Source organism: Homo sapiens, chromosome 11, assembly GCF_000001405.40.
Source record: "Homo sapiens chromosome 11, GRCh38.p14 Primary Assembly".
NCBI classification, from domain to species: Eukaryota; Metazoa; Chordata; class Mammalia; order Primates; family Hominidae; genus Homo; species Homo sapiens.
The window spans coordinates 90,163,444-90,179,221 of record NC_000011.10 but is presented as its reverse complement, the minus strand read 5'-3'; the positions used below and the strand labels follow the sequence as shown (position 1 = coordinate 90,179,221).

Sequence of the window (15,778 nt, the reverse complement as noted above, 5' to 3'; positions counted from 1 at the left end):
CCCCCAGAATAATAAAAGACAATGTTTGTAATAAAACAGTAATAGGTAATATTTAATGAGCACTAAGTGCTACCCACCACAGCTTCTATATATTACCAAACTGAATCTCCACAATGATCTTTGAAACATGATATGTTCTTTTTTATCTTTTAATTGTATGAAAGCTAACACATAGAGAAGTTAAGTAACTTTCCCAAGGTCACATAACGAAGAACTGGTAAAGCTAGTATCTGAACCAGGCAAACCACTTCCAAACTCAATCCTCAATGCTACTACATACACTGCATTATGAGTCATCCTTGCTGTATAGGAGATGCACAATGCAGAAGAGCAACCACTAAACAGTCATTAATAAAAGGAAAGTATACTTATAACCATGGAAAAAATGTTTCATATAGACAAACACTAAAAGATATATGCAGTAATAATCATTTTGTTGACAATAATTAAAAATACGTATGTAATAGTATTTGTGGCTTTCTCAATCTTTTGCAAATAATGTTACATTTTTCTAATATTGTTTCTATAACAGTAAATTTTTTTTTTTTTTTGAGAAGGAGCCTTGCTCTGTCGCCCAGGCTGGAGTGCAGTGGCGCGATCTCAGCTCACTGCAAGCTCTGCCTCCCAGGTTCACGCCATTCTCCTGCCTCAGCCTCCCGAGTAGCTGAGACTACAGGCGCCCACCACCATGCCCAGCTAGTTTTTTGTATTTTCAGTAGAGACGCGGTTTCACCATAATAGCCAGAATGGTCTCGATCTCCTGACCTCATCATCTGCCCGCCTCAGCCTCCCAAAGTGCTGGGATTACAGGCGTGAGCCACCGCACCCAGCCAGTAAAAATGTTTTTAAAGGCCATAATACAAGAAAAATGTTTACCATCCCAATGTTTGTGGTAATAACTCAGCCATAATGGATTCATTCTATACATGCCAGATTAAATCAGATTCTTTAATAGGTGTTTGTTTTAAGTTTTTGTGTAGAAGTCAAAATAAGTAAGGCAAATATGTATTCTAGGATGAAACAATATGCATTGATCATCATAGGAGATAATATCTTAAAGCTCTAACTTAAAGACTGTAAAATATCTGCCCAACTATTTCTTACCAAATGATACTCCATGGTCTGTCAATTGTTGATCATGTTTCTTAGATAGATTATAGATACTTGCTGCATAGTTTTTCAAAGCTTCTGCATAGTCTTGAATATTAAAAGGAATGATTTTAGAATCCACAAGCTCATATACCAGTGCTCCTCGTAATTGAGCCACAGAAAGTTGTTTTTTAAATGTGGGGTCATAAAATTTCTCTACCAATTCAAATGTCTCATAAATTGTGTGGTACACTGGGTAGCTGCTGTACTTATCTGTTTTCTGAAAAAAAAATGGAGAGGCAAGTATAAATAAACATTAAATATTCAAGTTATAATATTTTTATGTAAGCATAAAAATAACTATAGAAAAAATAACAACCAGCCAGTCATGGTGGCTCACATCTGTAATCCTAGCACTTTGGGAAGCCAAGGCAGGTGGATTGCCTGAGCTCAGGAGTTCAAGACCAGCCTGGGCAACATGGAGAAACCCTGTCTCTACTAAAAATACAAAAAAAAAAAAAAAAAAAAAAAAAAAAAAAAAAAAAACAAGAAAAAGAAAAAATACAACCATATAACACCCTGAGTTTTACCACAAGGAGGCAAAACGCTAATAACGAAAACACTATAGCCAAATATTCACTGGTTTTAAAAATTTTCTCATTATTTGTTTTATAATTTATGTAACCTTCATTCAAGATGCTACACCTTGAACATTTTCTCCTTGTATCTTCGATAACTAAAATTAGGGAATACATATTCAAATTGCACCTCAGCATAGTTCAAAGTTATCTATCAATTGATTGGTAAAAAAAAAAAAAAGGTTCTGGGCAGCTAAGTACACAGCTTAAGGATGATTTATTTAAGTAACTTCCCTTCCTTCTCAAACAGTGTATATCTAAATGTCATTTAAGCTTTATTACATAATTAAGGTACCATTATGAATATGAATTATTACATAGTAGTATCCCGTATAAATATTCTTTTTAGTTCTTCGGTCTGCCTTTTCTAATTTTAGTTTTTATTATTTGCCACCTTGTATGGCTATCGTTCTTACTGCTGTTAGTATCACTAAAAAGCAATCTCCTTATCAGTCCTTCTCCTTCTATCTAATTATCTGCTTCTAATCTAAAGTGGTCTTAGAAACTAGATAACTTTGAGCAAATTACAGAAGACAGAGTATAAAAGTGAACAGGCCTTGACAAAGAGTTAAAACACATCATTTATGTATTAATTGTAATGAATGTAAGCATTCTGAGTTTATCTATTTTGGGTTACTCTGGGGTTGCTTTTATTTCTTTGTTCTTTGTTGTATTCTGAACAGTCAAATTTGCAAGTGATATACATATAATGGGCAAGCAAGATTTAGATGTACTGTAATTATGATTTGAAGATTGATTAAAATCTATGACAAATCTGTGTCTGCTACTGTAATCTTCAATTTGGTTTATGAAATAATTTATAACATTGATGAGCAAACATGGTATATATTGGTTATATCCAAGTACCTGCATATCATCAGGATGTCTGTGTGACAGTAGTGCAAACCAGTCAGTGCAGAACAGAAAAGGGGATCAAGTTAAAAGAGAAACTTGCTTTATTTCCCAACCAAGAACCCTTGACTCAGGTGACAGGCAGAAGTGGCAATATGAAGAGGAGCTACCGACAATAATGAATCTTACCCTAATGCTCCTCTTGACCAAAATATGTTCTCCAACTGCATTTATCCTCATGAAAAGTACATCAGAGCCTGCAAGACTAGTCTAGAGAATGAGAGTTTTCTGACAAATCAGGAAAAGGATGTGAACTACTTAGTACTGATTAACCAGATAAGTGTCTGGCATTACTCTGTGAATCACCATTTATTTGATTAACCCTAACAATGAAATTTTCACAAAATTACTCAAATTGCTTCCTTGTCCATCTGGAAAGGGACATGCAGTCTATCTCTATCCCTGGGAACTCTTCCCAGGCCACATCCACCAGGTGTCTGGTGCCAAACAACTCAGTGACATTCTTCGCCAAAGGACTGTAGATGAAATGTTATATATTCAAAATGATAAAATGGCTTACCTTATTCTTAGTGTAACGGGCTCTGCCTGAAGCAATTCCAAGTCTCTGAAAATAAGCTTCAAAGTCACTTCCAGATCCCAGCTTATTGATTCTAGATGTAGAATGCAATCCACACACACACACACACACACACATAAACAAGTAAATGATACAAAGTTAAATAGATGGGACAAGGAATCCTGCCCCAAGAATAGCAAGGAATTATATATTACATTTATAAGAATTTAAAAAAGGTCAACCACCATCAAGACATTTTCCCATAATCTGCAGGAAAATTGCTGTAAAATTAAAAGTAATGCTGAAAATTAAAAATAATGGCAAAAACTGCAAATACTTTTGCACCAACCTATAACAAGAATTGGGCTGTGCCACCAAAGACTGCATCTTGTGATGATGCTCTCCATCATATCTTCAGCATTTACATTTTTGTTTAGAGGGGAAAACAATGAAGACGTGGGCCCTACCCTCAGAGAACTATCATCTAGTAAGAAAACTGCCATAAAAAAATCTACTTTTAAAATCATGAAGAATATAAATGTGCCTCATTTTAGAAATAAATCTAATTATAATTTATTTCTTTGCATATGATTAGGAAACCTCTGTTGATCTATCACATATATATGCATATACATAAATAAAATGTAAGACATGAAAATTTTTAGTAAAATAATGGTAAGTCATGAAAGCAGAATATAAAATTGCATGTTCATTAATAACATAACTGTTTATTTCCAAACTATTAGGTTAGTAGATATGTTTTTGAGACTGACCTCTTCAATGTTTTAGAAATCATTTTTGTATTTTACTGTTTTTGTTGAATTGGCATGTGAAAGTTTTATAATGGACCCACATTCAAACTTTCACAAGACTGATTTGAAATGAGGAATAAAGCTATAAACTGTTACTATTATTTGCTTGTACAAGTTGAGTATCCCATATGAAATGCTTGGGACCAGAAATATTTTGGACTTCAGATTTTTTTCCAACTATGAATATTTACATATATGCAGTGAGATATCTTGGGGATGGGGCCCAAGTCTAAACATAAAATTCATTTATGTTTCATATGTATCTTATAAACATAGCCTAAACTTAATTTTACATAATATTTTAAATAATTTTGTGCATGAAACAAAGTTTGTGTTAAGTGCTATAAGGTGTGGAATTTTCCACTTGTGACATCATGTTGGTGCTCAAAAAGTTTTGGATATTGGAGCACTTCAGATTTCAGGTTTTTGAGTTAGGAATGCTCAGTCTGTATTAGAAATGGCACTACAGTAGAAAACAAATATATACTTTTTATTACATAATGTTTAGAAAAAAGAAAATAAAAACAAATAAATATAAAATAAATTTAAGAAAGCTGCTGTAGCATGAATGAGATGACATAAAAAATAAAATAATATTTATATAAATTCTAAATCACAGGTAAAGACACAATTTGGTGGTTACTGATAATGTTCCTTAATAAATTTACAAGCAAATAATCTAGCATTTGTCTTTTCATCATTATCATCTGAAGTTATATTATATATTAATACACCTAATACATATGTAAATGAAATTTTAAGCAAGAATGCCAACTAATGGCTAATAATGTAGCGAAACTATTTTGGCTAAAAATTTGCAAAACTAGATCTATTTGTGCTCTAACATAGACTGAAAGACTTCACATGCTGGCTAATCAGCAAAACAAAACTGGATAGAAGAATTCTTATTTTTTTTTTTTTTGAGATGGAGTTTCACTCTTGTTGCCCAGGTTGGAATGCAATGGCACGATCTCGGCTCACTGCAACCTCTGCCTCCCGGGTTCAAGCAATTCTCCTGCCTCAGCCTCCTGAGTAACTGGGATTACAAGTGCCCGCTACCATGACCGGCTAATTTTGTATTTTTAGTAGAGACAGGGTTTCGCCGTGTTGGCCAGGCTGGTCTCCAATGCCTGACCTCAGGTGATCCACCCGCCTCGGCCTCCCAAAGTGCTAGGATTATAGGCGTGAGCTACTGGGCTCGGCCAGGAATTCTTCATTATCTTTTCTTGGCTCAAATTATTGATGAGACGCTTGAGAATTTCATGCTTGGAGAAACAAGAGGCAGAGGGGAATTCATAACTTATCCTACAGTAGAAAAGGTGCATATCAGTAACTTACCTAGGCAAATTTTTATTTTCAGGTGAAGGGTCTTTTTCCAACCAGCTTTCATACAGTGATTTACTCTCAAACCCATCATCAGGGCTGGGGATCTGGAAAGAGAAATCAAATACTGGAAATTAGGGGTAGAAGCAACTACATTTATGCCAAAATAAAACTATATATTATTTGTCATCAACTTCTACTTTTAATAACATATGTACATGTATATATTTATACACATGTATATGTTTTATAGAAAAATTATATTTTTGCAAATGGCAAGAAATAAATCTAGCCCAAATTATTTTTTATTCATGATGTCTACCTGTGTTGGTAATTTTGCCATGTACCTAAGATGTAATTTCCTGCTTATTTTGGTAAACTTTTAAATAGAACTTAAAATCTTTACAAATGCCATTTTAATTAATGTTTGGCAGCTTAGATTTCTTTTAGTGGGAAGACACTGGAGAAAACTTCAGATAAAACATTTGCTTTTGTAAATTATTTTTGCCTAATAAGACCTATAAAGAGGTCTCAGAACAATAGAGGTGACATAATTTCAAGCTCAGCTTCTTAACCTATAAGTCTTGGTTTTGCAGGGCAGGCAGGGGTTAGCGCTGGGACTATTCTTTTAGACAGTCTTATTATGTTTAAACAAAGTTAAAATTTTATGGATTTTTTAAAAAACTCTACATAACCTCAGATTTCTACTTGGGAATTTTTAAGAGCTCGTGTGTGTGTGTGTGTATATATATACATTTTTACTCCTTTCATTAAAAATACATTTACAAACTTATACTTGCCTTGTCTTTTGACACTCTAAGAAGAGCAGAGACATGTGGTGAAAACATTGTGGACTGTGGAGTCAAATTGGTCTATTTTAAATCTAGACTACTACACATATTGACTATATTTTGTTTTCTTGTTTGTTTATAACACTGATTTGCTCAAAAATAGACCCAAGGCAGACCCTACTTAAGTAACTGTGAAAGCATTATAACTTGGTGTATTTGTTCCCCTCTTTGAACCTTAGTCTTCTCACCTGTAAAACTGGGGATAATGGTACCTTTCTGAATATAAACATCTGGTATTTTCTCTGGCCTTTAGACAGAGTTGGTTATTCTAACTTCTGTGCCACTATTCTTAATTTTTCTATAGATATTTACTAAGCACTGAACTCAGAAAAGAGATGCGGAAACAGAGACATAGTCTCTACCCTCTTGGACCTCACAATGAAATCTAATTGGGGATACACACACCAAACAAATTTTGTAATACAAAATTATAATAAGCAGTTTAAAAGAAAATATCAAAGTGCTATAAAGAGATGTGGGGATGAGAGATAGATATGTCTCCAAGTAAGGGCTTTCTGAGAAAATGGCAATTAAATTTAAGAGCATCTAATAAAGATGTTGGGTATTGGCACATGATTTTGAACAATTTCCCTGTTTCAATCTCACCCCACTTATTTAGAGGCACAAATGTGTTGTGTCTACTGATAACACAAGCCCTCATCAGCCTTCAAGTAGAAGGTAACAGTGGTGAATCCACTGCCATCCACAGAGTAATGGTAGGGCTGGGAAGTGGTCACTTGCCCTTAGCTTTGTATGAATGAGATGATATTTTATGACTGCATAGAGGGTCCACAGCTTAGAAAGTCTTGGCACTCTACACCCTTCCTCACCAACATGAGGCAGCTGCAGAGATGTTCTGCTCATTTCTAGCCAGCTGACTGGGTTCTACTCTCTACTCTGCTCCTGCCAATTTACAATGGTTGAGAGAGATTCTGTTCCAGTTCCTACATCCTGCTTGGATTGAACTCCCAGTAAAACCCTCTTCATTTTCTGAATCATACTGTCTCCATAATAGTGCCAATCAGAAATCACGTCCCGTTGGCCTAGAAAATCCAGATCAGCTTTCTTTCTTTCTTTTTTCTTTTCTTTCTTTTTTTGTCAGGATTTCTATGGCTTACACTCCTGGGCTCAGGTGATCCTACTGCCTCAGCTGGAACTATAGGCATGTGCCACCACACTCGGCTAGATGAGTCTTACCTCAGCTACATGCATTGTCAGAATTGATAGCCCTCCTCTTATTTAGCAACACTTTGCCCCATTTCTTGCTGCATCTGGCAGCTGCCCTTCTCTCCAAGCTCAGCCTTGTCTCTCACCCCTACACTATCCTCAAGTCACCAATATGGCTTGACTATTTGTGCTAACACACACTAGGGATTAATAAAATTGTAATAATCAGTTTACAGGAGAGTAAAAACAAGTCTCCTTTGTCTACTGGGTCTTGGCATGCCCACAGATAAGAATTTATCTTTGTACAAAGAGGCACAGATGTCAACTTCTCCCTTATCAACCACCAAATTCTTATCATTCCTGACATCAAGGCCAGGGATCATCTCTCTAGGACAGCACAAATCATAAATTCCTGTTCCAAAAAGGGTTCTCTCAGTAAAGATTTTCTTTTCAGCTTACTTTTAGATAAGATGCTTTTATGGAACATTCCAATGAAAGGATCAAAGACATCAGCTACCCAAGATGGTGAGAGCATTGTGATGAGGAAAATGAGAGGAGTTTCATTTGGAAAACTAGTTTTTAAAGACATGAAAAAGAGAGGGGTAAGATTAAGGGAGGAAATATTAATAGTACCCAGAGAGAAGTGATATCTACTTCATATTGTTATCTAAGGATGACCTTGAAGCAAACATTTCCACAGGTAAATTCTTTGGCAAGGAACTATTTAAATGATGTTCACAGATATTAAATGAGTAGATTATATAAGTTTTAGAGATTCAGAGTCCTTTAGATTTTAGAGTTCTTAAAATATCTATAACTCATTTAATATTTATAAATTACTGGGAGATTAGCAAGCCTGCAGAATTATTTCCATTTTGCCTTTAGACTTGCAACTACTTAATGTATTCACTACACTGACATAAAACAATGAACAACCTTGTTAGAAATTCTTTAATGATTTCTCCATAACAGATTTCTGAACTCCTTGGCCCATTGGTTATGCCTCATTTCTTACCATCTTTCCCACCAACGCCTTTGGCTTGGCCATGCTGAGCTACCTTCAGATCAGGAAATACGTTCTTTTAAACCTCCACATCTTTTTTAGATACTGTGTCCTCTGCTTAGAATGCCCTCTCCCTTACTTCTACATCCCTTCATTTGACAGTCCAAACATCAGTGACTCTGCAAACCTCTTCTTATGCTCCTCAACTTCCCCCAGCCACCTCAGGATTTAATATTCTCTATTCCATAACTGTTCTCCATCATACATAGTATCAAATATTCTAGTGAATTCTAATTCCTCATTTACCAATCTGTGTCCTCTCTAGATTACAAAGTCTTCGAATTCAGTGACCTTGTCCCCTTATCACTATTGCTGCTATAATTCATTTTGTAGAATCTGACATATAGTGACCACTCAGTGAATATTTGTTGAATGAATGAATGAGTAGCTAAGACAGTTTTTTAACTGTATGCCTTTCTATTCCAACTCAGTGTTCTTTCTGCTATATCAAATACCTCTGCCAGATAAATACATGTTACAACTATTTACACAATTATTAATAAGAACTATTGCTAGAACAAAGAAGCTGGTGATAATATCTTCTTAGTTATGTCATATAGGTAAATGGCATATTAAAGATTTTGTTTTGTTTATATGATTCTATTATGTTCTCTCACCAGCTTAAAAATAAGTACCATTAATTTAGGGGGGAACACACGTTATTCATTTATCCATTCAAAAGAGAACATATGAAGACACATTTCCTTATATACCTCTTTTGTCAGTTTATACACTAATTGGTAAAGAAGGGGAGTACAGTCAACTCTGAGAGTATAATTGCCTGAAAAATAAATAAGACACAGAGTATTATTTCATACTTCTAAATGAAATTCCATTTGTTTAATTCTAACTTTATTTTCTAATTTTAAACAAGATATAATGATCTTCAAATCAAAGATTTTATTCCCAAAGAATAAAACAGGGTGGAAATAGTTCTTCAGGAGCAAGAGAGCCTGCACCAAATATTCTGAATAGTAGAAGGTCTTGGTGGACTTTGGTTGCTAAGGCAGCAGCTGTCACAGTGATTATAAGGGTCATTCTCATGGCAGCAATTCTTAGGGGCACTTTGGCAAAGGAAGTGGTAAGTCTGTAGCATTAATTTTTTACTTGTTTCATTCTATGCAATAGTATATATCAAGATATTAGACAAAGCCATGTCAGTAATTATTAGGTTCTAACATTTATTTAGAAATAATCACAATGCAATGAAAGCCTAGAGACACGAATCTCTTCATTTTCTGAATCATACTGTCTCCATAGTAGTGCTAATCAGAAATCAAGTCCTGTTGGCGTAGACAATCCAGATCAGTTTTTTTCTTTTTCTTTTTCTTTTTTTTTTTTTGAGAGTCAGGGTCTCTCTATGGCTTACACTCCTGGGCTCAGGTGATCCTGAGCTAGATTCAATAGGAGTTTGTAGTTCAAAAGGAGTGAGTAAGTGAGTACACTTACTTCAAATTTGTTACAACAAATACAGGAAATATTTCTACACAGAATAGTCTGCAAAACCTTTCTTCTGAACTGTTTTAGCCAAATTCCATTAATATCTTTATCGAGAAAATATGTGGTTAATACTAGAGTTTTAAGTAGTAATATAAACAAATAGTAAATATATCAAAGAAATTAAAAGCAATAGCTTAGTTATGAATCATATCAATTCATATGAATCCTAATTATTTTCTCTGTGGCAAAATGAAAAATAAAGGTATTACTGAGGCATCTCAAAGGAAGGGGATATCTGAGGTGCTTAATAAGCTAGAATTTATAGTCTTAGTAGATGGTATTCTACTCAATAATAAAAGTTACTTGAAGTAAAATTTCCTTTCTGAAAATTTCACTTCAAATTGAAATAAAATTTACCTTCTATAGATGAATCCGAGTTGATATAAGCAATGCTTCTCTCCTGGAGTATTTTGACATTCTCCTGTAGTTGAAGCAAAGTTGTTACTTAATTCACATTACTTAGTTGTGAAAATGTAAACAAAATAAGCAAATTAATTTCGTGGAAAAGCGGTTTACAAGTATCTTTCACAATTAAATAGCTAGGTCCATCTGTGACCCTAATTTCTGAGAAAATGCAGAAAACCAGTTTGTTAACAACAATTACGCAATTAATATAAGAATTAAGGATACTATGAAGCAATAGCTACTGTTTATAGCAATAGCAGAGAGCCCTAAGAAAAAAAAATATTTTCAAAGTGTGGTTCCTTGATTCCCTGCATCAGACTATGCAGGGATGTGGCTCCCATATTCTAGGGCCCTGCCCTAGATCTACTGAATCAGAACTCACAGTGAGGCTAAAAGTGAGGCCTGGCAATCTGTATTTTATTATTTTATTTTATTTTAGAGACAGAGACTCACTCTGTTGCCCAGGCTAGAATGCAGCGGCACGATCTCAGCTCACTGCAACCACGGCCTCCCAGGTTCAAACAATTCTCTTGACTCAGCCTCCGGAGTACCCGGGATTACAGGTGTGTGCCACTGTGTCCAGAATTGGTGGGTTCTTGATCTCACTGACTTCAAGAATGAAGCCGCGGACCCTCGCGGTGAGTGTTACCGTTCTTAAAGGCGGCGTGTCCGGAGTTTATTCCTACTGATGTTCGGATGTGTTCAGAGTTTCTTCCTTCTGGTGGGTTTGTGGTCTCGCTGGCTCAGAAGTGAAGCTGCAGACCTTCACGGTGAGTGTTACTCTTAAGGCGGCCCATCTGGAGTTGTTCCTTCCTCCTGGTGGGTTCGTAGTCTCACTGGCTTCACGAGTAAAGTTGCAGACCTTCAAGGTGAGTGTTACAGCTCATAAAGGCAGTGTGGACCCAAGGAGTCAGCAGCAGCAATATTGCAAAGAGCAAAAGAACAAATCTTTCACAACGTGGAAGGAGACCCCAGAGGGTTGCCACTGCTGCTCCGGCAGCCTGCTTTTATTCTCTTATCTGACCCCACCCACATCCTGCTGACTGGTCCATTTTACAGAGAGCCGATTGGTCTGTTTTACAGAGAGCCGATTGCTCCGTTTTGACAGGGTGCTGATAGGTGCGTTTACAATCCCTGAGCTACACACAAAAGTTCTTTCCCCACGTCCCCACTAGATTAGCTAGATATAGAGTGTGGATTGGTGCATTCACAAACCCTGAGCTAGACACAGGGTGCTGATTGGTGTGTTTACAAACCTTGAGCTAGATACAGAGTGCTGATTGGTGTATTTACAATCCCTTAGCTAGACATAAAGATTCTCCAAGTCCCCACCAGACTCAGGAGCCCAGCTGGCTTCACTCAGTGGATCCCACACCGGGGCCACAGGTGGAGCTGCCTGCCAGTCCCACGATGTGCGCCGGCACTTCTCAGCCCTTGGTCAGTCGATGGGACTGGTCGCCGTGGAGCAGGAAGCGGTGCTCGTCGGGAGGCTCCGGCTGTGCAGCGGCCGCGGCGGGGGCGCAGGCTCAGGCATGGTGGGCTGCAGGTCGGAAGCCCTGCCCTGCGGGGAGGCAGCTAAGGCCCAGCGAGAAATCGAGCACAACAGCTGCTGGCCCAGGCGCTAAGCCCCTTACTGCCCCGGGCTTGCAGGCTGGCCGGCGCCTCCGAGGGCGGGCCCGCTGAGCCCACGCCCACCCGGAACTCTCGCTGGGCCGCAAGCGCCCGCGCAGCCCCGGTTCCCGCCCGCTCCTTCCCTCCACAGCTCCCAGCAAGCTGAGGGAGCCGGCTCCAGCCTTGGCCAGCCCAGAAAGGGGCTCCCACAGTGCAGCGGCGGGCTGAAGGGCTCCTCAAGCGTGGCCAGAGTGGGCGCCAAGGCCGAGGAGGCGCCGAGAGCGAGCGAGGGCTGCCAGCATGCTGTCACCTCTCACCACGACGCCTGGCTAATTTTTGTATTTTTAATAGACACGGGGTTTCACCATGTTGGCCAGGCTGTTCTCGAACTCCTGACCTCAGGTGATCCACCTGTCTCAGCCTCCCAAAGTGCTGAGATTACAGGCATGAGCCACCGTGCCGGGTGGAAATCTGCATTTTCTTTTTTTTTTTTTTTTTGGAGACAGAATCTTGCTCTTTTGCCCAGGCCAGAGTGCAGTAGCGCTGTCTCTGCTCACTGCAAGCTCCACCTCCCGGGTTCACGCCATTCTCCTGCCTCAGCCTCCCGAGTAGCTGGGACTACAGGCACCCACCACTGCGCCTGGCTTATTTTTTGTATTTTTAGTAGAGGTGGGGTTTCACCATGTTAGCCAGAATGGTCTCGATCTCCTGACCTCGTGATCCGCCCGCCTTGGCCTCCCAAAGTGCTGGGATAACAGGCGTGAGCCACCGCGCCCAGCCAATCTGTATTTCCTAATAGATATAACTGGCAATTGACACTTACATACATTGAAGTTTGACATCCATTTATGGAGGGGATACCCAAGTAAATTTATCATTTCAAAAGTGAGAAATATAAAATTTCCATTTGTTTATATTTACTATGTATATGAAGTGAAAGAAAAAAGGAAGACAAAAAATTAGAGGAGGCACACATTAAGACAAAAATAAGACTCTTTCGCTCTCTCTCTCTCATACACATACACAAACACACACACACAGACACAGATTAAAGAAAAAGTAAAGCAAAACTAACACACAGACAGAGAGGAACATGCTGAGAGAGCCCTTCACCGCTCTCTCTAGCTTGTTAGCTTTCTAAAATATGTTATAGTAAAAACATTTAAAGCTGTGTGTGGTTATGGCACAAATAAAAACTGTCACCTCTTTGCACTTGCCTGCATAGGCCAGGTGATAGTTGACTCCATTACAGAGAAATATAAAATCAGAGTTTCCATTATAACAGATTTATAGTGAAAATAAAGAAGATTCCTTATGTGTATTTAAAGAAGGTAAGCATGCTACTGAATATAATCAAGAACCTGGCACAAAACTGGAAAGTGTATTGAAATTGCCTTTTAATGCACATGTTTATAAATTAATGCAAAGCGTTTTTATTATTTTATATATTAGATTTCTTTATGTTCAGCTGCTGAAATTTAAAAAACAGATGCATGTGTTTATATGTGTTTATATATGTATCACAAGAAATCACATGTTTCTAAATCGCATGTTTCTAAAAGCAAATGACCTCACCCACCACAGGGGCAAGGGGAAAAAAGATAATGACCTGAACTAATAAAATTTGATTCATCAAATTAATGTTATAGTTTCAAAATGCCCATTAATAATACCAATGTGAAAATAACAATTCGCAGTGTAAATGTAATCAACAAAGGGTGATACCAGACAAGTAATTGTGAGTGGGATTTTTACCCCCTCTGTATTTGTTTAATTCATATTATTCCTATTATAGTATTTTAAACTAATGTAAGAGAAACTGAGTTAGGAGGAAAGCATTTTCAAAACTAAACACAATGGCAAGACAGGTTTGCCATATTTTAAAACAGCTCTATAAAATCTGGACTTATAAATGATAACTAGCAGATGGAGGAGGGAAGGTAAGTACTTATGTAGTGCACCTACCTGGAAATACTACTGGACCCAGCAATCCCATTACTGGGTATATAACCAAAGAAATATATCATTCTATTATAAAGACACATACACACATATGTTCATTGCAGCATTATTCATAATAGCAAAGACATGAATTCAACCCAGATATCCATCAATGACAGACTTGATGAAGAAAATGTGGTACATGTACACCTTGGAATACTACACAGTCGTAAAAAATGATGAGACTATGTTGTTTGCAGGGACATGGATGGAGATGAAGACCATTATTCTTGGCAAGCTAATGTTGAAACAGAAAAATAAATACCACATGTTCTCACTTATAAGTGGGAGTTAAATGATGAGAACCCATGGACACATAGAGGGGAACAACACACTGGGGACTTTCAAAGGGTGGAAGGTGGGAGAAGGGAAAGGGTCAGGAAAAATAACTAGTGGGTACTGGGCTTAATACCTGGGTGATGAAATAATCTTTCACTAGTAATACCACAATATTAGTTTCATAGAGTCTCAAAAATTACTACATTTGAGTTATAGGTTTAACATTTCAAACCAGGTTTTTCAAAATTCTCTCTTCACCTAGTTTTTAAAATAGTTTTTCAAATAACTTTCAAAATGATATACATGTGAAAAACCAGGTGAAGTTAAGGGAGGGGTAAAGATGAAGAGAGAAGGGAGCCAACATTTATTGATCACTTACTGTGTGGATTAAATGAGTTAAAATGGGTAAATCACATAGCTACTGTAAAGCTCAATAGAAATATTATTACAATTATTATTATTAATACATGATAACACTCTTCTAGAAAAGATGTGATCACAAATTGTGTGTTTATTGAGCTTACTCTTACAGAAAGAGTAAAAGTTTACCACTGCGTCAAGGCAGGCAGGAAATGCCAACTAGAGAAATCAGCTTGTACAGAGTAGTTGAACAGCGTGGCAAATCCCCATGACACAGTTTACCTATGTAACATACCTGCACTTGTACCCTGAACTTAAAAGTTAAAAAAATGAATGTGCTTACCTTCTACATTTAAGAACTTAGAGATTACTTGACAGAGAGACTAAAGGAAGAAGTTGGAAGAAAAGGGCCCTAGGAGAGACACTTAAATATAAATAATTAAGAGTCAGTGACAAATGACAATCATATGTGAAGAAAAAAAACCCCACCTATGAAATTGTAAAGCAGGTCAATTTATTAAAGTAATTCAATTCACAGAATTATCACTTTATACTTAACAATGAAGCACATATCTGTTGTAAATGCTAAAGTATACTTATGGTTGCCATTTTAAATGGAATCTGTCAATGTGAAAATATAGTCAATATATGGCCATCTTAATAGAACATCTTATATTTTCTCAGATGGAAGAACTCTAAAGAAACTTCAAAAACTTGAAAATTAGCTCTAAGCATCTGTATCAGTTTTTAGATAAGTAAATTATCATCAAAAATATCTCATTAATTTTGATTATTTTCTGAGCTTACTGATTTTTCTTATTTTTTATAAAACAAATGCAAATGGCAACGAAAATATTTTGACAAGAGGCAATAACTCTGTCTGCAGTCTAGTACTAAAAGGTTATTGCCAAACTGATGTGAAAGTAAAAATAAACTATTTCTTAAATTGTCTTGAGTCATTCTCCAAAACAAAACCATATTAGGTAATGGAATATATTTTTGATCATCCTGAGACACATACATATTTGTTCCCTGTTGACCAAAAAAATAATAAGAACCTTCTTTGTCTTATTTACCTCAGCCCATTCTGTGGAACCCAGAAGTCCAAATTCTTCTGCATCCCAGCTGGCAAAAATGATAGTTCTTCTAGGTCTCCAGCCTGTAAGAATTGTTAACACACGTGGTTAGGTACAACTGCCTAAAAAATAAAAGAAAATTCAGTAAGTCACTTTTTGTCATCACCTAGGAAA

The 15,778-nt window shown here is 37.1% G+C and overlaps 1 protein-coding gene across 8 annotated transcripts in view, besides 1 other annotated feature; it reads right to left on the bottom strand.

Annotated features, from left to right (window-relative positions):
• Positions 1-15,778, bottom strand: part of NAALAD2 (N-acetylated alpha-linked acidic dipeptidase 2) — a 61,196-nt gene that overhangs the window by 13,673 nt on the left and 31,745 nt on the right. For 5 of the 8 annotated variants that reach the window (XM_017017043.3, XM_047426168.1, NM_005467.4 and 2 more), the window contains 6 exons: positions 15,605-15,687; positions 10,230-10,293; positions 9,086-9,153; positions 5,307-5,398; positions 3,160-3,250; positions 1,105-1,369 (listed from right to left, as the gene is read on the bottom strand). In XM_017017043.3, the coding sequence (XP_016872532.1) occupies positions 1,105-1,369; positions 3,160-3,250; positions 5,307-5,398; positions 9,086-9,153; positions 10,230-10,293; positions 15,605-15,687 (663 nt within the window). Of the gene's footprint in view, positions 1-1,104; positions 1,370-3,159; positions 3,251-5,306; positions 5,399-9,085; positions 9,154-10,229; positions 10,294-15,604; positions 15,688-15,778 lie in introns of those variants that run through there. The other 3 variants (XR_007062427.1, XR_007062428.1, XM_017017046.3) reach the window with 3 other exon arrangements.
• Positions 11,314-11,514: a silencer, noted in NCBI's record as "peak1387 fragment used in MPRA reporter construct". NCBI's record gives its function as "represses an SCP1 promoter by STARR-seq MPRAs in K562 erythroleukemia cells {active_cell/tissue: K562}" and the evidence as "EXISTENCE:reporter gene assay evidence [ECO:0000049][PMID:32103011]".